The 23,819-nt window shown below is 53.6% G+C and overlaps 1 protein-coding gene across 7 annotated transcripts in view, besides 2 other annotated features; it reads left to right on the forward strand.

The window, feature by feature from the left end:
- The window catches only part of EPHB2 (EPH receptor B2), a 210,663-nt gene that overhangs the window by 86,790 nt on the left and 100,054 nt on the right, over positions 1-23,819 (forward strand).
- Positions 12,154-12,654: an enhancer, noted in NCBI's record as "H3K4me1 hESC enhancer chr1:23136274-23136774 (GRCh37/hg19 assembly coordinates)". NCBI's record gives its function as "activates a minimal SCP1, AML or CMV promoter by ChIP-STARR-seq in primed H9 embryonic stem cells {active_cell/tissue: H9 hESC(primed)}" and the evidence as "EXISTENCE:reporter gene assay evidence [ECO:0000049][PMID:30033119]".
- Positions 12,655-13,155: an enhancer, noted in NCBI's record as "H3K4me1 hESC enhancer chr1:23136775-23137275 (GRCh37/hg19 assembly coordinates)". NCBI's record gives its function as "activates a minimal SCP1, AML or CMV promoter by ChIP-STARR-seq in primed H9 embryonic stem cells {active_cell/tissue: H9 hESC(primed)}" and the evidence as "EXISTENCE:reporter gene assay evidence [ECO:0000049][PMID:30033119]".

Genomic DNA, 23,819 nt, shown 5'->3' on the forward strand with positions numbered 1-23,819 from the left:
TGGCCGCCTCCACCCTGCTCCCACCCTGCCTCCTCCAGTCTGGGGTCCCTAGGATGCTTGGTCTGGCCAGAATCTTTAAGACTCCCCATCCTGCACAGTGCAAAAGCCAAGCTCCTAAAAATGGCTCACAAGGCCCTTCATCATCTTTCCCTTCTCTCACCTTTCTGACCGGTCTCCTCCCGTTTCCTCCTTCCCTCCCGCTCTCTAGGCACTCTGACCTCCTTCTGCCGGGAATGTTCTTTCCCTAGATATCCACAGTGGTTGCTCCATCGTCTTCTTCAGGTCTCTGCCCAAATGTCACCTGCTCACTGAGATCCCGCATCACCCAATTTTTATACAGGCACGCAGCCTGTCCCCTTCCCTAATCACCATCGTCCTAATCACCATCTGACGTACTATGTATTTCCCACTGTGTTCCCCAACTGCCTGTCTTTCCCAGGTGGAGTGTGGACTCCACCAGAGCAGCTATTTCATCTGTTTTGTTCACCATTGTATTTCCAGGTTCTAGGATGGTGCTGAGCTCACAGAAGGTTCTCAATAAATACTTGTTGCAGAGTCCCACCCACCCCAGTCTCAGACATGGACCCTTTCAATCCTGCTGGGAGTAACGCTACTAACCAAGGCCCATGGAGAGGCTGGGGTTCTTCCTGCCACCTCTGGAGGGCTCCTGAGGGACTGACATGGCCAGGGCGCCCCACAGGTCTGTCTGTGGCTGGGATAGATGTTTCTAAGCACGGATGGAGACTCCTTATTCCTGATACTCAGGGTTTCCCTAAGATCTCAAATCCCTCTTGGAGCTAGAGGCCTTAGAGAGCATTTTTCAGTCTTACCCATTTTTTTTTTTTTAACATAAACCACTATAGTTTCAGCTCCTGCTCCCTTCTTTGCCCTGGCATGACCATGTTCTGAATCTCTGCAGTGTGGTCCTAGACCAGAGGCTGCTGTGGGACTCGATTCTCTCATAAGGAGCTGGTGGGAGCCCACCGTGTGTCTGGGTCTGTGCAGACCCGGAATTGGAAGTTGCCAGGGGGAGCCTTGCACAGAGAGAGCTCCCCGCCCTGCCACTAGCCACCCATGAGACTGACTGACTTGGTTACGTCCTTTTCCTGAGCCTCAGTTTCCCTGTTGTTAAATGAGACCAGTAGTCTCATTTAACAACAGGTTTGAAGGTTTGAAGAGGCTCCGAGGAGTCAAAGGAGCTCAGAAGGCAGGAGCAGGATGAGAAGGGAGGCATTGTCCGGCCGCAGGATGGATGGTTTCTCAGGGTGGACACCAGCCCAGTGCTGGCAGAGTTTCTAGAAAGCAAGGCAGTATCTACATGTCTAAGGTGGGGGGGACATGGTAATGGATGAGCCTTCAGTTTTAAGCAAGTCCGAGCACACAGCAGGTACCTAATATGTGCGTGTGTCACGGCACTGTTTTAACCAGCCAGGGTGCATTGATTGAATAGTGCAGGAGCAGCTCACAAAGTCAGAATCCCTGGGTACAAATTTGAGTTCTGGGACCCCAGCAGAGCACTTCCCCTCGCTCCTCCCTCCTGTGGAGCTCAGTGTCACCGTCTGTAGAATGTGCCTAACAGTCCCTGATTCCATTCTACCTGGTCCTTGTGGCACTCCTCGAGAAGCCATCAGGACAGCTGTGACCTTCTGTGACATGAGGATAAGGACCCTGTGTTGCCTCCCACCACTCCAGACACCCACAAGCAGGAAGGTTTAGCAAAATAGGTAAGAGCCAGCCACCTGGGTTCAAATACTGGCTCTGACATCTGCTACCTATGTGGCCCTGGACAGGTGACTCACCTACCCAAGCCTTGATCGCCTCATCTCTAAAATGGGTTCAGTAATAAATGGAATATGACAGAGCAAGTTGTGAAGACTCAAGGAGATAATGAAAAGAAAGTGTCTGCACAGCACCTGACATGAGGTGTGTGGTCAGTAAATGTTTGCCCTGTTTGACACAGCCTGGCCCCTGCGATCTAAATGCTCGAAGTCATGACCATCCCCTTTTGCAGATGAGGGAACTGGGGTTCAGAGAAGCCAAGTGACTTGCTCCAGTCCACACAGCAAGTAAGTGGTTGTCACTGAACACAGGTCGTTTGGTGGAGCAGGAGGTATGACCTGGGTGAGGCTTAGGGGCCATGCAGAGCTATGTCTGTCGCTGTGTCCCCAGCAAATTTTGGGCCCAGAGCCTCATGGCAGCCTTAGAGAGAAAAGATTCCGCCCTGGGGTCTTTGCAGGCCTGACCTGGGACCTGTCAGGGTTATACTGGCTCCTTCTAGGAAACCAGCCTCAAGTTCCCAGTTCCCTCCCTTAAAGGCATTGCCATCTGATTAGCAACATTTTAAAGACCTAAGAGTGGTCACTGGCGTGTCTGTGCTGCCTGGGCAGGCCATGCAGCTTTGAGAGCCCCACATCCGTATCCCTGGCAACCCTGGCCCTGAGCTGCCCTCCCCCACACCCTGCTGTCAGAGCTGTCTGTCTGTGGGAGCTCCCCGGAGACCCGGGAGGGATGTGCACGCATGTGCTGGGTCAGCACAGAGCGTCCCTGTACGCATGCGTGTGCGCTGGGCCTGCTGGGAGTTGTTTGTGTGCCCATACGTGCACTAGCGTACCCACTGAGCCAGCCTCTGCACATGCTGTTGGAACGTCTCGGATCTATGGGCATGTACGTACATTTCAGGGGCGGGCTGCGCACAGAGCTTGCCTGTGTGGGTGACACTGGAGCCTGCTGGGAGCCATTCCTCTCCCTGTATTGGTGTGTTCCTGTGTCTGCCTGACCTGCCCCAGCATATGTGTGCAGGGAGGAGCACACTCATGAGTGTGCTGGATCAAAGCACACACCTAAGAATGTGTGGGTGCAGCCGTGGAGGGAGGTCCCCATCTGTGTGTACACGCCACTGCTGTTGAGTACGCTCACTGGGTCATGCAGGTGTGTGTTTGCATGGGTGCCCACCCACTCACAGGGAAATCAGCCAGAGTATTCAGATTCATGTGTACATCTGTATATTTTATCAAGCCAGATGTACGTGAAAATGGGTACTTGTTAGCATATGTGAGCCCTATCTGTGTGAGTATATGTGTGTGTGTGTGTGTGTGTGCACGCACATGGCTGGATCAATTTGTGGAGTGTGTGCGTGTGTATGTGACACACACACACACACACACACACACTCTCTCTCTCTTTCTGGGGACCAAGATATGTCAGGGCCATTGATTTTCTGTCTCTTAGAAATTCCCTTTGAGGTCCTATTCATGCCTCTTTCATGAAGCAAAATCAGTGGTTCCAGTGTTCTTAAAGCAAACCAGGCCTGTTTTGCGCAACGCTCCATCCCTGGCCCGCCCATCTCCTCCACCGGTTGTGCCTGCACACACACATATACCCACAGGACCTGCTTGTCGTGCTCAGGTGGGCACAGCAGCCCTGCAGGGGTACAGGGGGCAGGCTCCCTGGCCAGACTCTGCTGCTTTCTAGCTGTATGGCCTTGGCCATTTCCCGTCATTTCCTGAGCCTCGGGTTCCTCCTCTGCCCGATAGGCACAGGGTGGTGGTGAAGATGTGAGTGGTGAAGCCCCTGCCAAGGCTGGAGGTTCTCTCTCATCTGTCCCGGCTGTTACGTTTACGAAGCACTTTCATCTGGGGAGAGAGGCTTGTGTCTGTCCTCGCCAGGCCAGCAGAGGAGCTTTGGGAAGGGACACCCATGAATGCCCCCCTTCCTGTGGGCCCTCTGCTCCAAGCATTTTGCTGACATCCCTTCATTTTTATCCCAGCCACCGCCCTGGGTGGCAGCTGGTGTTATCCGCCTTCCACAGAGGGGAAACCGAGCCCCAGAGAACTGCAAGGGCTTTGTCGAACTTCACCGAGAGCAGGTGGCAAGCCAGGATTGGGACCCAGGTCCAGTGGACTCCGGAACCTTCCCACCGCATTCCAAGAACGCTTCCTCCAGCAAGCAGGAGTGAGAGGCCAGGCCTTAGAGGATGCCCAGACCCCACACGAGGGGATGGCCTACAGGCCCAAGGCACCATGTGGGCAGAGGTGCAGCATAGGGAAACTCCAGCCTAGAGGAAATAGGCCCTCAGCCTCTGTCACTTGCCTTGGGCTCTCCCATCCCATCCCCTTCCCCCTCCAGATGGGCAGCCCCTCGTGGGGTCCCCTCCCGCCCCCTCGTGCTGCAGTCTTTGTGGCCCAGGAAGAATGCCTCTCTTTATCTCCCAGACGCCCCTTCCCTTTGATTCTCCTCTACCCAGCGTTTCTGCTGACCTCTGCGTGTTGGGAATCCAATTAGAGGAGCGGACAGGGAGAGTGACAGCCGCGCCGAATCCCGCCTCAGCCCCTCCGAGCACGCTCAGCCAAGCTGCAAGCAGCGCGGGGCCTGCTTGTCATGCTGGGCCCTGCGCAGGGCTTTGTGGGGATTAGCTGCTGGGGGGTGGGGTGCTCGCAGATGGGACCAGAAGTGATGCTGGTGAATGTCACGTCCAGGCAGAGAGTGGAGGAGGGGGCCCGCCCAGTGTTGAATCCAGCTTGGGGAAGAGAAGAGAAGGGGGCTAGGGGGCAGACTAGCCTGGCCTATAGGAGGCCCATGGGGGAAATGATGGCCCAGTTGGGTTATTTGGTTCCCCATTTGAGGGTTGGAGGGTAGAGCTGGCAGCCAAGCTCAGCTGTGTCTACAGTGGAGTGGGCACCAGAAGGATTTCCACCTGGGAGGGGCTTTGGGGGATTGATTGGATTGCAGGGGTGGGTATTGACTCTTCATTTGCAAAACACTTTATGTATGATGGAGGTGGGGACCCTAAGAATGGGGAGGTGGCAGGCTTTGAGAGATGTGTCTAGAGAATCTGCCACCACCAGCCACCCCTTGGCAGGGCCACCAGTCTAAGGCCAAAGACTATGCCCTTCCCCAGCCAGCACCATGAAAGTTACCCTTCTGGTTTACAGCTGTGGAAACTGAGGCTCCGAGAGGAGAAAGGTCTGGCTCGAGGACACAAGGGTAGTCCGTAGCAGAGATGTCTCATCCCCCTGTCCACCCGCACCACCCAGCCCCACCCCCAACTCCCTGGACCTCCTGAGTGATGAGAGTCCCTGATGCCCTTCCCCACAGAGGGATATGGCATCTGAGGAGGTGGATTTCAGGCCCTCAGGGGAAGCAGTATCAGGTAGAATATGGTCTGACTCTCAGCTCACGGACCAGCAAATGCCCCTGCCCCTCTAGAAATGTGTCAGGCCTTGTGCTGGGCCAGAACACAGTGGGATCTGCCATGGCCTCTGCCCCCAGGAGCCCACAGTGGACAGAGACAAGGAGCCCCTGGTGCACAGAGAGGGTGGAGTGTGTGCATGGAGCAGTAAGGACTATGGGGACCCACTGGGGAGACTAGGACTAGGATGTGGGGATGGGACCACCCTGAGCCTGGGAGTCCCAGAGGCCTTTCTAGAGGAAGGGCCACCAGCACAGAGACCTGGAGGACAAGCAAGAAATAGCCTGAGGAGGCTCTGGCTATCCTAACCTGAGAGGCAGGGTAGTTGTGGGGCTTCTAGGGGAAGGGCATCTCCTGTCCCTCAAATCTTTGTGCTCATTCCATAGCTGCCTGGGCCGGGCAGGACTGACCCACCTCCCACCCGCTGCCCTAGTGAGGCTGCACAGCTGCAGCCGCTGTGGAGTTGGCAGCCACTGGATGTTCAGGATCTTCTGTAAGAATCGTGGTTAGGCCGGGCACAGTGGCACACACCTGTAATCTCAGCACTTTGGGAGGCTGAAGCTGGAGGATCACTTGAGCCCAGGGGTTCAAGACTAGCCTGGGCAACATGGTGAAACCCCATCTCTACAAAAAAATTAAAAATTAGCCAGGTGTGGTGGTACGCACTTGTAGTCCCAGCTACTAGGGAGGCTGAGGTGGGAGGATCACTTGGGCCAGGAGGTCCAAGCTGCCGTGAGCCATGATCTCACCACTGCACTCTAACCTGGGCAATAGAGTGAGACCCTGTCTCAAAAAAAAATAATATATATATATATGTGTATATATATGTGTATATATATATATGTGTATATATATGTGTGTATATATGTATATATATGTGTGTATATATATGTATATGTGTATATATATGTATATGTGTGTGTGTGTGTATATATATATATATATAAATTAGCTGGGGTGTGACGATGCATGTTTGTGGTTCCAGCTACTAGGGAGGCTGAGGTGGGAAGATCACTTGAGCCTAGGGGTTCTAGGCTGCAGTGAGCTGTGATTGCACCAGTGCACTCCAGCCTGGGCAACAGAGTGAGACCCTGTCTCAAGAGAAAAAAAAAAAGTGTTTAGAGATAGTGGTTAGGAGGCCACAGTGCCACAAGCCAACCTTAGAGATCTGGAATTTCTGTGGTGGTGCTAGGCACATTCCATACACATCTTCACCAATCCCTGGGAGCAGGAGTTGCCCACCCCGTCTTACAAGTGAGAAAACAGGTTCCAAGAGGCAGAAGGGCTTGTGCGGTCTCACAGAGCACATTAATGGAACTGCCTTTTACACTCAGGACCGCATTAGACCTTTCCCACCATCCCAGGCTGCCGCGGCCAGTGTAGGAATGAGCTTATTGGGTTGGCTGGTTTGGTCCTCCTGCCCAGCACTGTGCCTGCCACACAGGAGGTGCTTAGTGGGTGGGGGATGGATGCATGGATGGAGAAAACCAATCAATCAATCAATCAATTCTTCCTTACCTAGTGCCTTTAAGGAAAAAATCTGCACCACCCCCCATCCTGCCAGCGAAGGCTGTATTAAATATGAATTAATCTTTCAGCTCAGTTCTCATGAATATAAAATGCAGAGGGTGTGTGAAGCCAAGAGATCAAGACGAGACACCCCAGTCTGCCTGGGCCTGAAAGCGCACGCTCACACCCACTCACACTTGGAAGTGCATTCTCACAGTCATGCAGACTCACTCACAGTCCTCAGCCACCCTCCTTAGCCCCTCTAGGAACCTCCCCGCCCCACCCTGCCCTGCTCAGTTGGGCCCCTTCCAGGTCAGGCTTCTCTGGGCCACCACTGGCCCAGCTCTTTCCCATCCCACACCCTTCCCGCCCCTCCCAGCTCTCTGAACTTGACTCTTCCCTCCCACCTGCCTCTTCTCTCCTTCCTCCCCTTGTCTCTTTGCCCCCGCCTCTGTCCCCTGCTCCTTCAGTGTCCTCTTGTCTTCCTTTTCCTTGTCTTAGTCTCTCCATCTCCCCTCCTCTCTGTTTCTCTCTCTCCCTCCCCTGCCTCCCCACTTGTCTCTCTCCCCGTCTCTCTAGCTCCCTCCCCATTTCCTTCTCTAAGGGGACCACTTGCCTGTGCCTGGACATGCCAGGGACCCTGGGCAAATTGTGGGCTAGAGAGTGAATCCTCCCTCCTCAACCCAGACACATTGGGGTCAGGACATGCCCCCCAACCTCCCCCTCTAGCAAGGGGCACAGGTACCTACATACCAGGGCCACACCTTGCCCCCTCTCCTTGCCCCCACCACCTCCCAGGGCTGGCATCCTGCAGGTACGGGATGAGCCATGCACCCGGAGTCCACACCAGACATCTGTCAAATCCATGTCCCACAGGGGGCCTGGCCTGTTGATTCTGAAGGACTTCAGAAAATGGATTCTAAAGGGACAGAAGTGTGTCCTGGTTCGAGGTGACCCCATTTGTGTGTCTCTGAGCCGTACGCAGTCTCTCTCAGCCTCAGTTTCCCCCCCAGGCCCTTGAATAAATTAAACGAGGGGCTGCCAGCCCAGAGTGGGCTGAGATAAATGTCTCCTGACCTCCTGTGGTACTCCCCAAGGTGAACATTCCAGACCTGCCACTCCCCTGTGGCCTGACTCAGGCCCTCCCTTTCAGGAGCTGACCTCCCTCCCACTGCCTGAGGACTCTGGCACAGGATGCTCTCACCCTCTGCCCCTCTCCCCACCTCTCTACAACCACCCAGTCCAGACAGCTGGGCTGGAGGGGATCAGAGACTGTGAGCAGCCACCTCCCACCCATCCTGGACCCAGGGTCAGCAAGGAGCGGGTGGGGGTGCAAAGGCTGTGATTCTTTTGGGTGGGAATGGGGGTGAGGGTGAGAATCAGGCAGGTGCATGTACATGTGTGTATGAGAGAGAGAGAGAGATTGGGAGGGAGAGGGAGCTCACTAGCGCATATGTGCCTGCCAGGGGGGCTGCAGATGTGTCTGAGGGTGAGCCTGGTGAAAGAGAAGACAAAAGAATGGAATGAGCTAAAGCAGCCGCCTGGGGTGGGAGGCCGAGCCCATTTGTATGCAGCAGGGGGCAGGAGCCCAGCAAGGGAGCCTCCATTCCCAGGACTCTGGAGGGAGCTGAGACCATCCATGCCCGCAGAGCCCTCCCTCACACTCCATCCTGTCCAGCCCTAATTGTGCAGGTGGGGAAACTGAGGCTGGGAAGTCACATAGCAAGTGACTGGCAGAGCTGGGACTGGAACCCAACCAGCCTCCTAGACCACGGTTCTTCCCATCAATGGAATGCTAGAGACTCCAGCCAGGTACAAAGTTGGATAAATGAAAGAATGAATAATAGCCATTGATGTTTGTAAAGTGCACAGGGCAAACACTTTATAACTCAGTAATCACCCCCCTTTTACAGGTGGAAAAACTGAGGTGCACAGAAGTGATGTAACTTGCCCAAGTTTATACAGCTAATAAGTGGCAGAGCCAGGATTCAAGCCAGCAGGTTCCAGAGTCTGTGCTCACTGTACCTCTTAGAATACCAAGTCCTTGAACCGCAGGAATTGCCACATTTCTGTGCCCCCGGCTCTGAGCACTGGCTAGGCACATAGCAAATGCTCAACAGTGCTTGCTGAGTCAATGAGTGGATGGATGGATGGACGGACGGACGGACGGACGGACGGACGGATGGATGGATGGATGGATGGATGGATGGGAAAGGAGTTCACCATGAGGATGGCTTCCCAGGCCCCAGGATCCCAGCTTCTCAGCACAGTAAGGTCCTACTGCGTGTGCTTGGCTCCTGCCGCCCCTATTCCCACCCCCGCCAGGCAGGTGTTAGCTGTGCCCTCCACAGGGCCAGGCCCCACAGGGACAAAGCCGAGGGCGCGCCTGGGCGGCCCAGCGCCTGCATAGGCTGAAGCTGCTAACAGGCTGGAAATCTCTTTTGTCAAAGCCTGCACTGCCTCCAACCTCCTTTAATTAAAGACAATTAGTGCTTTCAGCCCCTCTGCACAGCTCAGCTCCCCTGTTTGCAAACACACAGCTGCGGGAGCTTTGTGGGCCCCCCCTCGTCACCACCCCCCAGCCCTACTTCCCCAGAGACACACAGAGGTGCCTTTATTATCAGCACTCCGGCTGCAGCACCAAGAGGCAGGCGCCTCTGCTTAAAGGAAGGATGGGAACGCTTCCCAGCTAGGCGGGGGAGCAGGAATAGTTGAGGACCCTGGGGTGGCCTGGCACATGTGGGCCATGGGTCCCACGCTTCGAGGAACAGCCACTTGGGGCACCTCTGAGGGACCTGTCACCTCCCCTTCTCCCCTTCTGTCTCCTCTGCTCCTCTGGGCCTGCTTCCTGGAATTTGGGCTGTCCACATGTTTTCTCCCAGAATCTTGTCTCTGACTTGGGCACTGTAGGGTGTAGATGCTGGCCCTGAGTACTACCTTAGGAAGGAAGGAAAAGGGAGAAATGGCTTTTATTGAGCACCTGCTGTATGTTAGGGCGCTTGCTAGACTCTGGCTCTACACACCATCATTCTGAAATATCCCCATTTTATAGATGGAGCTGCCAAGGCGCTCAGAACGGCTTGGTGACTTGGTCAGGCATGACAAGGACATAGCAGAACCAGCATTTAAGGTCAAGCTTTCTGGCCTGAGCATACTGGTTGGATCTACGCATATGAGGAGCCCAGCCTCCTAGAAGTCAAAAGGTCAGCTGGTCCAGCTCCCTCCCAGCCTCTACCCCCATGGTCTGAGCATGTGCCATGTGTACTAGGGAAGTCACAGCCACATCCATGCCCTCCAGATGCTCCCAGTAAAGGGAAGATGCCACCAACAGACCCTTACACAGTGGCAGTGCCCTACAATGGTGGAGGGCTCTACAGAATTCCCGGACAGCACAGAGGAGGGAGTGACTTTGCAGGGAGAGGTGGAACATTTGAGCTGGTTCTCAAAAGGTGAATGGTTCTCAAAGAGGACAGTGGGGCAAAAGTATTCTAGCCAAAGGCCAGGGGCATAAAAGAAAAGCAAATTCTGGCCAGGCACAGTGGCTCATGACTGTAATCCCAGCACTTTAGGAGGCCGAGGCAGGCGGATTAGCTGAGGTCAGGAGTTTGATACCAGCCTGGCCAACATGGTGAAACCCTGTCTCTACTAAAAATGCAAAAATTAGCTGGGCATGGTGGCGTATGCCTGTGGTCCCAGCCACTTGGGAGGCTGAGGCAGGAGAATTGCTTGAGCCTGGGAGACGGAGGTTGCAGTGAGCCGAGATGGTGCCACTGCACTCCAGCCTGGCCGGCAGAGCAAGACTGTCACAAAAAAAAAAGAAAAAGAAAAAGAAAAGAAAAGCAAATTCCAGGAAAGGTGAGCAGTTCAGGCAGGAGGGGTATCACTGGGCCCATTGTGGATGAGGGGACTGAGGTTCCCCAAACCTGAATGCGGTGCTGCACCCACCCCATTTCTCAGCTCCTGCAGGAAACCATGACTGTGCTCACTCTCCTTTGAATCCCAGGACCTCAGCCAGTGCCTGGCACAGAGCAAGGGTTGGGGACATATCTGCTGAGTAAATAAAATGTCCCAATGATGGCAAGTGAGAGGCCCACAAGCTACCTGTCTCCCTTCCCGGGCACAGGGCAGACATACCAAATTAACCACGGCCCTCTTCCACCCAGTCCAGAAGGGGCCCGAGGCCAACTCCTGGGAGCTGGTGAGTGTGGTGAAACTGACGTGTCACCGCAGAGTCAAGTCCAATGCTCACATTTTGCAGATGAGAACATCCAAATAGTATGCTTCTGAATGGGGAGGAAGAGATAATAAGATTAATAGCTTAACATTTACTGAGTGATATTTATATACCAGGCACAGTTCTAAGCTCTTAATGTATATTTAATTCCCGTAACACCCTTATGACACGGGTATTAATCTTCATCTTCTCATTTTACAACGAGAAAAGCTGAGGCACAAAGCAGTTAAGTAACTTACCCAACACCACACATCAGTACGGGATGTGCAGGGCCAAGATTCAAACCCAAGGAACCTCACTCCAGAGTCATGCTCTCAACCACTATGCCATATGTCCTGTCCTCCATCGTCATGGGACCTCGTGGCCCCCAGAGCTGGCCACCCTGCGGGCTGCTGGGCATCCTGCCTTGCTATAAGGCCTTGGCTTCTCCCACTCCAGTGGAGAACAGACAGCTGAGTCAGAGCTGGTGGGGCCGGGCCAGGCCTGGGATCCATCTGCCTTTCAGCAGCCTCTGGGCCCATTTCCTCGGGCCCAGACAGCTTCCCGGCGGTGCCTCTGCAGGCCCTTTTAAGTCCCCTGGCACCCTCAGCCCCACTTCCTGTGACCCCTGGCCCTGGCCTGACCCACTCCGCTCAGTTTCCCAAGATGAGTTGCAGAAGCTGCAGGGTCTGTGCAGAGAAGGGAAAATTAACGAGCTGCTCCCCGGCAATTGGCAGTTTCCAGGCACCAGCTGGCCTGGAGTATTTACTCGGCACCCTCAGAGCAAGACAATTAAGTGGAGCTTAGGTTGGGGTGCAGAGATGTCTACAGATCAGACAGAAACCTTCCTAAGATGTTTTTCCAAGAGATCAGTGCCTAAGAACAAGTTTCCAGGGAAATACAGTCTTTATTCATCCTTATTAGTATCTGATATATTAATATACATAACGTATATGTTATATACATACTCATTTAATTATTTAGCATTCACTGTGTGCCAGGATCCTTGTTGAATCCTCACCATCTCTCTGCAAGGTAGACATCATTATCCCCATTTTACAGATGAGGAAACTGACTCCCAGCAAGGTTAGGAGGCATCTGCCAGGTCACACAGGAGAGCCAGGATTTGAACCCAGGACTGTCTAACTCTAAGCTTCTGCTTCTTGCATAGAACAGACCTCCCTCTTGGTCTCTGGTTGATTGTATGTAGCACTGTATTAGGCACCAAGACTGCGCGAGGAGCAAGAGAAAACCCAGTGTGTGCTGTGGACTTATGTGGTGCTCCACAGCAGGCACAGAGAAGAATAAGAGCATGAGACCCCTTCCCTGCTCTGAGAAGTATCATTTTGAAGATATATGTTGGCCAATATGTGAGCCCAAGGTCTGGTCAGCTTGACTGGTTCTGAAGGTAGGGTAGGGCTTCACTTAGGAAACAAACCTTGTGCTGGGCTTTGAAGGTTGAATAGGAGTCTGCCTGGTGGAGATGGGTCAAAGGGCATTCCAGGTGGAGAATTCAGCATGGACATTATAGTGCTTTGCGTGCTAGGGAAGTGACCCGGAGTTCAGCCTGATGGGGTGTTTGGTAAGATCGGTGGGGTTGGGGGACTTAGAGGGTTGGACTAGGCAGCTCTTGTGCGGGAGACCTGGGCACCAGCCAAGAAGAGACACAGGAGATGGGAGCGGGACCCTGCCACTGCCAACATGATCCTACGGCAGGAAGGGCCTGCTCAACACCATGCAGCAGGGGCCCTGGGCTCGGCCAGGGGTCCCCCAGCCCTCCACTGTTCTCCTGTTTCCTGTGCCCCACAGTGGTGGGGTGGAGGGAGCTGGTGGATTGCTTGGCCATTGAGCCTCCCCTTCGTGCTGCCCTCCAGGAGCTTCACATCCACCTGTCTGGCACCACCCCACATTGGGCCATTACTAACTCACTCTGTGACCTGAGGCAAGTCACCTCTCTCTGGGCCTGGGTTCCCCAAAAGTCAAAGAAGGCACTAAACCAGAGGTTGTCCTTACACCTCTGCATCCTAGAGTTCTCTGAGAGAATGAGTGGTAAATCCCCACCTCTTGGGAGTTTCCCAGTGGGTGGGGATCAGGGCAGGGGGTGCAGGGACTTCCCATGACAAGGGGCACATTCAGGGACACAACCGACCCCAGCAGAGCTGCCAGGGCAGGAAGTTTATCTTCCAGTCTCTCTGCCTTCCCATCCCACTCCCATCCAGGCCCCATCTGATTCCTTGTCACTTAATTTCCCCTGAAATGTCACCTGGTCCCTGTCATCCCACCCCAAGGCCGGGAAAGAAGTATAGTTCGAATGAGGGACTTTCAGGCACCCTAACACACCCAAGAGGCCCTGGCAGCCCCAAGTCCCCCTCCTCAGTGCCACCCAGCCCACTGGCAGCTCCCAAACAGGCTCTTATTAAAACACCCTGTTCCCTGCCCCTTGGAGTGAGGTGTCAAGGACCTAAACTAGGGAGTCAGAAGAAAGGGTCCTGTCTCAGCTTGACAACCCATGTGCTGCGTGACCTGGGTAAGTCCCTTGCCCTCCCTGAGCCTCTTTTTCTTCATTTGTAAAATGAGAGGGGTTGGAAAGATGAATGATCCGTAGCCCATGTGTGTATGAGAATCTCCGAGGCCCCCAATCCCATGTCTGATGCTGTTGGTCTGAGAATGGGACCAGCCATCCTGTGCTTTGGGTACCACTGGCGTAGGAGATCCCTGAGGGCCAAGTTCGGGTCCAACGTTTGTGAACTCTGCATTAGGTCCAGATTCTCTGTGCTTCTCTGTTTAATTCCTCGGACCCTAATGACCAGCAAGCACCACAGAGCAAGACAGCGCCCACTCCATCAGTCCCCACCATACTTACGATGTCCAGGCCAGGTTTAGGCAGAAAGTCATCTTTTCCCTTCTCTTTCACTCTCAGGATGGCTGTCCCCAAGCTTGTCTGTCCTCATGGGTGGTGAGATAAGGGGCTAAAGATAATTGCCTGGGCACTGGGGATGGAGGGCAGAAAGTTTATCTTCCAGTCTCTCTGCCTTCCCATCCCACTCCCATCCAGGCCCCATATGATTCCTTGTCACCTAATTTCCCCTGAAATGTCACCTGGTCCCTGTCATCCCACCCCAAGACCGGGAAAGAAGTGTAGTTCTTTCGGACCATGTACAGGAGGCAGAGGGGAGGGAGCCTGCAGAGTCAGGCCTGGGCTTAAAATCCCAGCCCCTTGGCCGGGGGCAGTGGCTCATGCCTGGAATCCCAACTCTTTGGGAGGCCAAGGCAGGAGGATCGTGTGAGTCCCAGAGTTCCAGACCAGCCTGGGCAACATAGTGAGACCCCATCTCTACACAAAATTTAAAAACCAGACAGACATGATGGCATGCACCTATAATCCCAGCTCCTCAGGAGGCTGAGGTAGGTGGATCACTTGAGCCTAAGAGGTCGAGGCTGCAGTGAGCCATGATCACACTGCCAAACTCTACCCTAGGCAACAGAGCAAGAGCTTGTCTCAAAAAACGAAATAAAAACCCCAGCCACAGCCCTGCTTAGCTGTGTGGCCCGGGGCAAGTCAGTTCACTTCTCTGAGCCCCCAGATATTTGTTGTGAAATGGAGGCGCCACATCTACCTCTCCAGATACTAGGAGGATGAAATTGTAGTGAATGTAGGCACCACCAGTCATACCCCACTTGTCCTGCCTGGCCAGGGAGGGAAGGGGAGCTTCCAGGGGAGCAGTGAAGCTGCGGCCCTGCCCGCGGGGCCTGAGCTGCTGGAGGCTGGCGCACCTTGGGCCCACCTGGGGATTTTCCATGAGGCTTCCACTCGGAGTGGGCAGCAATGATGTCAGTGAAATCATGGAACACATTTTGTAAGAAAATTAATAAGAAACGGATGAAGATGGAAATTATGAACCCTTGGAAACCACAGCAGGAGGGGTGTGGTACTCAGAGGTGCCAGACCCACCCGGTTGAGTGGGGGGACCCTCAGAATGAAGGAAATTGGGGGCGGGGGCTGTGGAGAGCGAGACGTTGCCTGTGAAGGCAGGAGGGAGGGGACTTCAGGGCAGCCAGAGGGAGAGGGACGTGGCCCCACAGCCAGAAGGGCCACTCATGTTGAGCTGGGTCCTGGCCTCAGGCTCTCTGAGCCTCGGCGTCCTCATCTGTAAAATGGGCATAGTAACAGCTATAGGGATGAAAGAAGTTGGAGCAAGCCTGGTTAGATGGGACTCCATAAACAGCAGCTGGCATTGCTGTTCATCGTGGGTGGGAGTCGAGCATTGCCGTCTTCAACCCATCTGAGGCTGGCAGGAGTTTGATGAGTGTTGGTAGAATGACCAGATTGACGACTTGGTGGATGGACTGACAGACAGGTAAAGGGATGAGTGAATGACTACAAACCACCTTCACTGGCCACAGGAGCCTAAATCTGTGTCTTGTATTTTTCTTCTGTCACCCACAAGCCCCCAGCTGGCTGCTGACATCTAGTACCCTTTTAATTGATGATTTGTAATTTATTATAATTTGGCATATTATATACTTGCGTTATACTTCAGTATCATACTCTGTTATAATTCTATAAAGTCTAGCACCTACCTAGTACTTTTCTGTTTACAAAGCATATCTAGACCCTTCAACTTGCCAGTCAGGCAGGTTCTCTTGTTTTGAGGTGAGGAAACCCAAGCTCAGAGAGGTTCAGTAACTTGTCACAGGTCACACAGCTCCTGAGTGGCAGGACCAGAATTCACACTCTGGGTATTTTGTCTTCCTGGGGCACTGCCGGCAGGGCTAGGATATTTCTGGTGATCTGGAGCCTGACTTGAAGGTGTAGAGTAGGGTGAGGGGTCCACTAGGCATGGGATCAAGAAGAATGGGGTGAAGTTGGGCATCTGAGATCAGAGGCTGAGGGTGGGGAAAAAAGCTCAAGGCCTTATCTGTGGTGCAGTCCGGCTCCTTGTGGGAGCACAAAGGGCCTGTGCCACAGGAGGTTGACCTCGAGATGAGCAGCTGAGGTGGGTGCTGGCAGAGGCTGTGGAGGGGCCATCTGGGAGGTAGGGTCAGCAGTAGGCACCACGAGGCATTGGGAGATGGGTGGGCATGCCCGGATTTTCCTGAATGAAGTGTCCCAGATGAAGCATCACTGTCCACCAGCCATGTGACCACAGCAAGTGACTTCACTCTCTGAACGCTGGTTTCTTCCTCTGCAAAATGGGGGCTACAATGAGAGAAGTTAGGGAGCCTTCACAGCCCTTTGCCCAGAGCACTGGGCACCCTGGCTGGCCAGTATTCTATTCATCCCCCCTGAAATATGCCCTCTGGCCCTCCAAAGACCACACCCCTGTATCTGAGGCTCAGAAATGATAGTCACATGGCTGGGCACAGTGACTCACGCCTGTAATCCCATCGCTTTGGGAGGCTGAGGTGAGCAGATCACTTGAGGTCAGGGGTTCAAGACCAGCCGGCCAACATGGTGAAACCCTCTCTACTGAAAATACAAAAATTAGTAGGACAGGGTGGCGGGCACCTGTAATCCCAGCTACTCAGGAGGCTGAGGCAGGAGACTCTTGAACCTGGGAGGCAGAGGTTGCAGTGAGCCGAGATCGCGCCATTGCACTCCAGCCTGGGCAACGAGAGCGAAACTCCATCTCAAAAAAAAATAAAGGAAAAAGAAATGATACTCACCACATGGATTTGTTGGCTTATCTTTATGTATTTACTGAGGACCCATTGAGTGCCGAACTTGAACATTGCTCAGTGAGGCTAGTAGGGCACTGGGTCCAGGTGCTCAAGCTTATCTGAGAAACAACGAAGAGGCCATTGCAGCTCAGGGTGATGACTGCCCTAATGCAAGTCGACATTCAGGGTGCAGTGGGAGCAGGAGGCGGTGTCCCCAACACTGCCTGGAGGAGGTGGGCTTATATACCTATGCAGGGTGATGCTGGAAAGTGGGGGGGTGCAAATGGAGGGAAACAGACACCCACTAAGCACCTACTCTGTACCACGCTCTGCCCTTTCCATCCATTTCCCTGTCAAGCCTCCTTGCACTGCATCATGGTAGTCTCCTCATGCCCACTTTACAGATGAGGCCACTGAGGCTCAGAAAGGTGAATGCACTGCTTAAGGTCACACAGCCACAAAGCCAACCGCAGCTGAGGTGTATCTACCCTCAAAGCCACTGAGGTTGGTTGAGTGGGCCTGAGGTAGGGCCCAGGGAGGCGGGGAAGAAGCATGGGCTCCGAGCCCAGTGGCCCAGGAGCTATGTTCTCACCAGGCCAGCCGAGGCCACTGGCAGCCGTGGTTTACAAGGCATGGGGCTGGCCTGACTGCTTTGCTTCACAAATGCACGCCGGCTCATCTGGGGTACATTTGCGCCTTTATGAGTGTTCTTCAAAAGCCCAGCTCGGCTCTGTGCCTGTAACCATGGAGACAGCTCTGGGTGGCTGGAACCAGTCGCCCTCTATGGCCACGCGTGAAGGCTGCCAGGTGCTGGGGCCGTCACCACGCTGGGCAGGGCACCCATAGAGGCCTTTCCTGAGAGGTGCTTGTGGATGCCAAGGGGTGAGGGTTTAAATCCAGTTCCCAGGAAAAGTGAAAAGGTCAAGTCTGCTTCATTGACGGCAGAGCCATGTGGGCCAAGACCACCTCTCTGGCCCACCACGTGCCTGCTCTTCCTGGGTAAATGTGAGCCTTCCCTTAGCCCGCCGCCCTTGGAATCAGGACAGGCTAGAGATGGAAGGTGGGGGGTGGTTGTGGGGGGTACAGGAGGCTGGGTTTGAGTCCCAAAGTGCAGCCCCACACAGCCTAAGACCCTCACACCGAAATCCCATTTTCCAAATAGGGAAACCAAGGCCCATAGAAAAGAAATGAGTTGCCCAAGGCCACCCATCAAGGTAGAGGCCAGAGGAAGCCTGGCTGGACCCTGGCTCCGAGTTCAGTGCTCCCTCCAGGCCACCATGAAGCTTCTCAGTGAAACCTGAGGTGGGGCTGGGCCCAGGATCAGGCCGTGTTGGGTGCAGCCAGCCCACGCTGGAGGCTGGCCTGAGCCCTGCATTGGCCCCAGGCCCTTCTTGGCTCTCAATTTTGGTCCAAGTCTCAGGGGCCGTTCAAAGATTCCGAAGGCATGTGAACATTTTGGAAGCAATTTGTCAGTCCTGGAAGCTGCTTGGAGGCTCCAAAGACTGTTTAAAGATTCCAGAATCTGTTATATTTGCAAGGGCTGTTGTTCATAGTTTCCAGAGTGGTTTGCAGGCCCTGGGCGAAGGTCCGGAGGCAGTGTGGGGGTCTGGGGCTGGAAGCATGGCTGGGAGCCCGGGGCGGTGCTGGAAGTGGAACTGACGGCTGTCTAAGCTCCCAGTTTTCTCTCCAAGGGCTCAGTCTATGAAGCCACCATGTCCATCGGGCATCTGCTGTTCTGAGAGGCAGAAGGTGTGTGGGTGTTGGCAGCAGCAGGAGAGGATTTAAAATCCAACTTTACCATTCACGTGCTGTGTCACCTGGAGCCAATTACTTAACCTCTCTGGGCCTTCTTTTCCCCCATCTATACAATGGGACTTAGACCACCTGTGCTGCAAGCCTAACTGTCCACCACCCATCTCATCTCAGGCATCTGTCGGATTAGTCAGAGAACATCCCCATCCAGAACTAGTTAACACTGTTCCTGGGTGTGGACTTGGTGTCTCTATCCAGGGTGGAAGCCTGGCCTTCTGTAATAGCCCTGCCGGCCCTCCTAAAACCAGACCTCTCTGAGCCCCAGCCCTGCTGTGTCTGTCACTGGGGAGGAGCCATGCACTGTGCCAAAGGCCCTGGTTGACCAGGATGTCTGTTCCTACCCATGCCCCGTGGAAGTTTCTGGCTGGTCACAATCCCAGTCCTGCCTCCTGCCTTCTTCATACCGCATTGCCTTCTCCAGCACTCTTCCTTCCAAGCCCATTGGCCCAACTCCCCCATCCCCACCCACCAGTACCTTAGGTCTCAAACTTGCCCTTGCCATCCTCTGGGCCTTGGCTCACGCTGTTCCCTCTGCCTGTCCCATCTCTGCCGTTCCCCCTGCCACCCTCCCACCTGGACCCCTTGCGGTTCCCTCTCCTCCAGCCTCCACCCTGTCTCACGTTGCTGATTAGAGTGGCACAGTCTACCCTCCAGGTCTGCGTTGCCTCCTTGCCACCAGGTAGCCCCTCACAGCAACTGTAGGATATAGGCCTGACTCCCAGGGTGGTCATGAAGGTCAGATGAGATGATGGATAGGCAGGAGATGTATAAAGTCTAAAGTGATGAGGCTAATGGTGGCTGAGTGATTTGCCTAAGGTCACCCTGGGGGAGATGGGGGCCAAGCCAGGACCTCAGTCCAGGTCTCCTGGCCAGGACGTCGACCACTAGAGCCCCAGACCATCATGGGTGCCCCTCTGAGAAGTTTTACTTTTCTCCAACTCCCTGACCCACTTGCAGAGCTGCAAGCAGGCAGGCTGGCTCCCAGCTGGGATAATCACTGGCCGCTGGCTGAGGTGTTAAATGCATCGTGCCTTCCTGGTAGACAGGAAGATCAATACCAAGGTGGATGGGCAGCCTCGCTGGATGCCACAGCCAGCCCCCAAGGGTGAGAATGGGCCAAGAATAAATATAACCAGGCCTGCTCCCTCCACAGGGTCAGACCAGGCCAGATGAAAATGCTGTAGCTTTGATGGGACCACCTGTGGCATTATCATCATCATCCCAAGCAACATGATTAGACCATAAACTCTTCTAAACTTGTTTGTTCCTGACATGTGTAAACTCACTGAATCCTCATAACCACGCTCTGAAGCAGGTCCTGATATTATTCCCATTTTACAGATGAAATGTGGCACAGAAAGGCTTGTGACTCACCGAAGGTCACACAGCTAGATTAGAACCCGCAGTTGCCTGGGTCAGAGCCCATGCCTGCTGCTGGGATAGTCTGCTGCCTTTTTAGTCATATGGACCATCCTGTGGCCACACATGCCCACAGGCTCCTTCCTGTTCAGAAATGGCAAATCAGGGGCCTTGTCTCCAGCCCCCGGTGTGCTTTGGGCACAGGGGTCTTCAGTGCCTGAGCTTCTTGGAGTTTTCAGAGCTTGGACTGTGCTTTAGCCAAGAGCTCCTGGACATGTATAGACACGTACCTAGCAGATGCCCATGCTCCCTCATTCTTCTAGAGCTCAGAGCAGGCAGGCTAAAGGCGAGCCTGGTCCCCATAGACACTCTGGGCATGAGTGACCCCCTGCTTGGCATGAACTCTCAGGGATCCGAGCCCTTGGACTGCAGTGGTCTCAGCCTCACTGCCCATCGGCTAGGGGCCTGCATAGCCATAGCCAAAGATGGGCCTTCCTAAAGGGCGGGACGGGAAGAGGACTCCATCCCTGAGCTTCCTGGGGTTAGACTGGGAGGTGGGACAGAGGTCAGCGTATAAGCTGTGGAACTGCTGAATGGGAAGGGCCCAGCCCATTTATCTTTTCCCTGAAGGGCAGCCCGAGTGATAGGAAATGTCTGGGCTTTGGGATTCAAGCCAGCAAAGCCCCTGCCTTCTGTGTCATCTGGGCTTAGACACTTAACCTCTCTGATCCTTAGTCTGTCGCTTCCCTTACTACAGCTGACCCTTTCACCCTCTGCCAGACCACGTGGTCCACCTGCCTTCAGGTCCTTGTGCTCGATCCATCTGTCTCAAGCTCAGTGTACCTGGCCAGCCCCCCACGACCTCTTCTTCCAGTCCCACCCCGAGTCATCCTCCAGCCCTCCCTCACCTCAGGCTGGCTATGGGGACAGACACCAAGTCCTGCCCATTTTCTCTCCTAAATATCCCTGAGTAGTTACCTTCCCTCCTGGCCCCATGAACCACCGCCCTGGCTCTGCAGACCTTGTCATCATTCTGGATTTGGGCAGTGGTCTCCCTGCGCCCCCTGCCTGCCCTCTTCCCCATCCAGCCATTCCCCTCTGGCAGCTCCAGAACCATCTTTCTAAAATGGAAATCTGGTCATGGTGTGTATCTACCTAAAACATGTCCTGATTACACACAGGATAAAGGTCAAACTCCTTCCTATCCCACAAGGAAAGCCTGACACCCTCCGGCCCAGCCTTCCCATTCTGCCTTCAGCCATGCTGTGCAACTGGGATGTGCTGAGTCCTACCTCTGAGCCTTGGCACATGCTGTTCTCTAGGCCTAGAATTCCCCTCTTTCTCTTCCCTCCCCTGCACCGTTCATCTTAGCATCCGTTTATCCGTCAGGTCTCAGTTTTGACGTCACCTCCAAGAATCTTCCCTTAACCACTCCCTCCCCCAAGACTGGGGTAGTTGACCATCCCCTGAGCTCCCACGCTTCATGCCTCCCCTGTCACTCTGAATTGTCACCATCTGTTTATGTGTCTTTCTCTCCACTACACAGAGTCCCCGCCCCCAGGCTCAGAGATGGCCCCCATAGGTTAGAGTGAATGCCCCCCAACCCCAACCTAGGCTCCCCCCTCCCAGGGGAATTCTTACTTCCTGGCTCACTGGGGGCAGCTAATGAAGTCCTAGTCCCACCTCCCCCGGAGCCATGCTGTGAGACCTTAGGATAGTGTCTTCCCCTCTCTGTGCCTTTGCTGCCGAGGAGCTATAAAAAGACAAGCCTGAATTAGATGACTTCTCAGGGCCTTGCCAGCTCTGCAGTTCCACAGCCTGGTCGCCCAGCAGATGTCTCTCTCTCTCTCTCTCTCTCTCTCTCTCTCTCTCTCTCTCTCTGCTGGTCTTTGTGTCTTTTCATTCTGCCTTGAAACTCCATCTCCGGCCACCGCCTCTCACAACCTCTGTTCCAGTCTCTCTGGCAGCCCCTCCTTTCCCTTTCTGCCCCAAGACTTCTTGTGAAGACTGAGGTCTTCTTTATGGAATTCCGGATCCAGGTCGAAGGGCAGTCCTGGAAGCCTCCTGGTACCCCCATTCATCCTCCTGTCTTGGGACCTGCCATCTGCATAGCCCCAGTAGGGCCATTAAGTCACCATGAGTCAAACCAAGTTATAAATAAGTAAAGGGGTGAGGGTCCCCAAGGGCACTCAACCCCAGCTGGCTGCCCTATCTCTGGCCAGATCTGGGGTCCTGACCACCCCGGGACAGACTCAGCCTGACAGATCTTGACATGTCGTCACTGTCCCTGGAGAGTGATGGGGAAATCACCAGGCCTCCCCAGCCCCCATTAGTGTCAGTAATTGCCAATCAATTTCCTGGGAGCCTGGTGAGGAAGAGGCCCCTGGGTACCTCCAGTGAGGAAGCCACATCTAATGGCTTTTATTTGGATTACTACAAATTGATGATTTTTTTTTTTTTTAATGGAGCTTTGGTTTTCCTCTCCGTGTCTTAACCACCCCCTCAGGGCCAGTTAGACCAAAAGATGAGTGATGGCATGACTTTCTTCTCTGGAAGAGCCGAGACCAGCCTGGTCATACCCACACCACTCATGTATCCTCCATGCTGAAGACAGGCACTTCCTGAAGCCATAGCTACAGCTCCCATTTCTCCAGCAGTAACCCCACCCCAGACCCTCCCCAAGGTTATCAGGTTGAAACTGCAAAACAACCCTGTTGAGATATATCTCACCATCCCCAGGAAAAGGGGAGGCAGGCTCAGAAAGGTGGTGAGACCTAGCTAAGATCACACGGTTAATAAATGGTAAAGTTGAGATTTGAACCCAGGTCTTTCTGGCATTGAAGCCTCGGTGTTCCCATTCTTACATGTGTCATCCCACGTATAACAGAGAGTGAAGATGGTTCCCCTGAAAGCCAGAGAGCAACAGGAGTGACAGCTTTCATGGGGCTCCTAGGGCAGAGATTAGCTGATGAGAATAATAATAATGATAGCTGTAACAATAGCAGCTATTGCTGAGCGCGGTGGCTCACGCCTGTAATCCCAGCACTTTGGGAGGCTGAGGCAGGAGGATCACTTGAGCCCAGGAGTTTGAGACCAGCCTGGGCAACATAGTGAGACCCCATCTCTACACAAAATACAAAAAAATTAGCCGGGTGTGGTGGTGTGTGCCTATGGTCCCAACTACTCAGGAGGCTGAGGTGGGAGGATCACTTGAGCCCAGGAGGTTGAGGCTGCAGTGAGTCATGATTGCACCACTGCACTCCATGCACTCCAGCCGGGGTGACAGAGTGAGAGCTTGTCTCAAAAAAAAGAAAAAAAATTAGCAACTATTATTTACTGAGCCCTTAATTATGAAACACAGACTATGCCAATGGGTTTACATAAATGTTTTATTTTCTCCTTGGAACTACACCAAGAAGTATTTGTTATTATAACCATTTCACAGATAGAGAAACCAAGACTTAGAGGTTAAGTGACTTGCATAAGATCGCTCAGATTATTGGTGCTAGTAGAACTAGGACTCAAACTAAGTATGTTTGAATCCACGGCATGCACTTTTAACCATTTGCATCAGTTTGGATTATGAGTAACAGAAAATAAAAATAATGGTGGCTTAAACAAGATTGGAGTTTATTCTTCCCTCAAGTAAATGAAATCCAGAAGTAGGCAGCTGGTACAGCTCCATAATCGTGAAGGACTCAGGTTCCTGTCTTGGTCCCAAGATCTAAGCTGGCTGCTAACCCTCCAACCATCGCATCCACATTCCAGCCAGGAGGAAAGAGGAAGCGGTAAAGATAGACACGCATGCTTCTTTTAAGGACAATTCCCAGAAATTGCAGCTACCATTTCTGCTAACATCTCATCAGCCAGAACGAAATCACATGACTATACTACCCAGATGCAAGACAGTCAGGAAGCATAAGCTTGATTCTGGAATGCCATGTGCCCAGCTAAAAAGTAGAGCCTATTGTTAAGGAATAAGGAGAGGTCAGATATTGGGACAATCATCAGTGACTTCCATCAGCATTATTCTAATGCTGATGTTTAGATGGAAATTTACAGTGCAGTCTAGTAAGT

The sequence above is a fragment of the Homo sapiens genome, chromosome 1 (assembly GCF_000001405.40).
Source record: "Homo sapiens chromosome 1, GRCh38.p14 Primary Assembly".
Taxonomy (NCBI): Eukaryota; Metazoa; Chordata; class Mammalia; order Primates; family Hominidae; genus Homo; species Homo sapiens.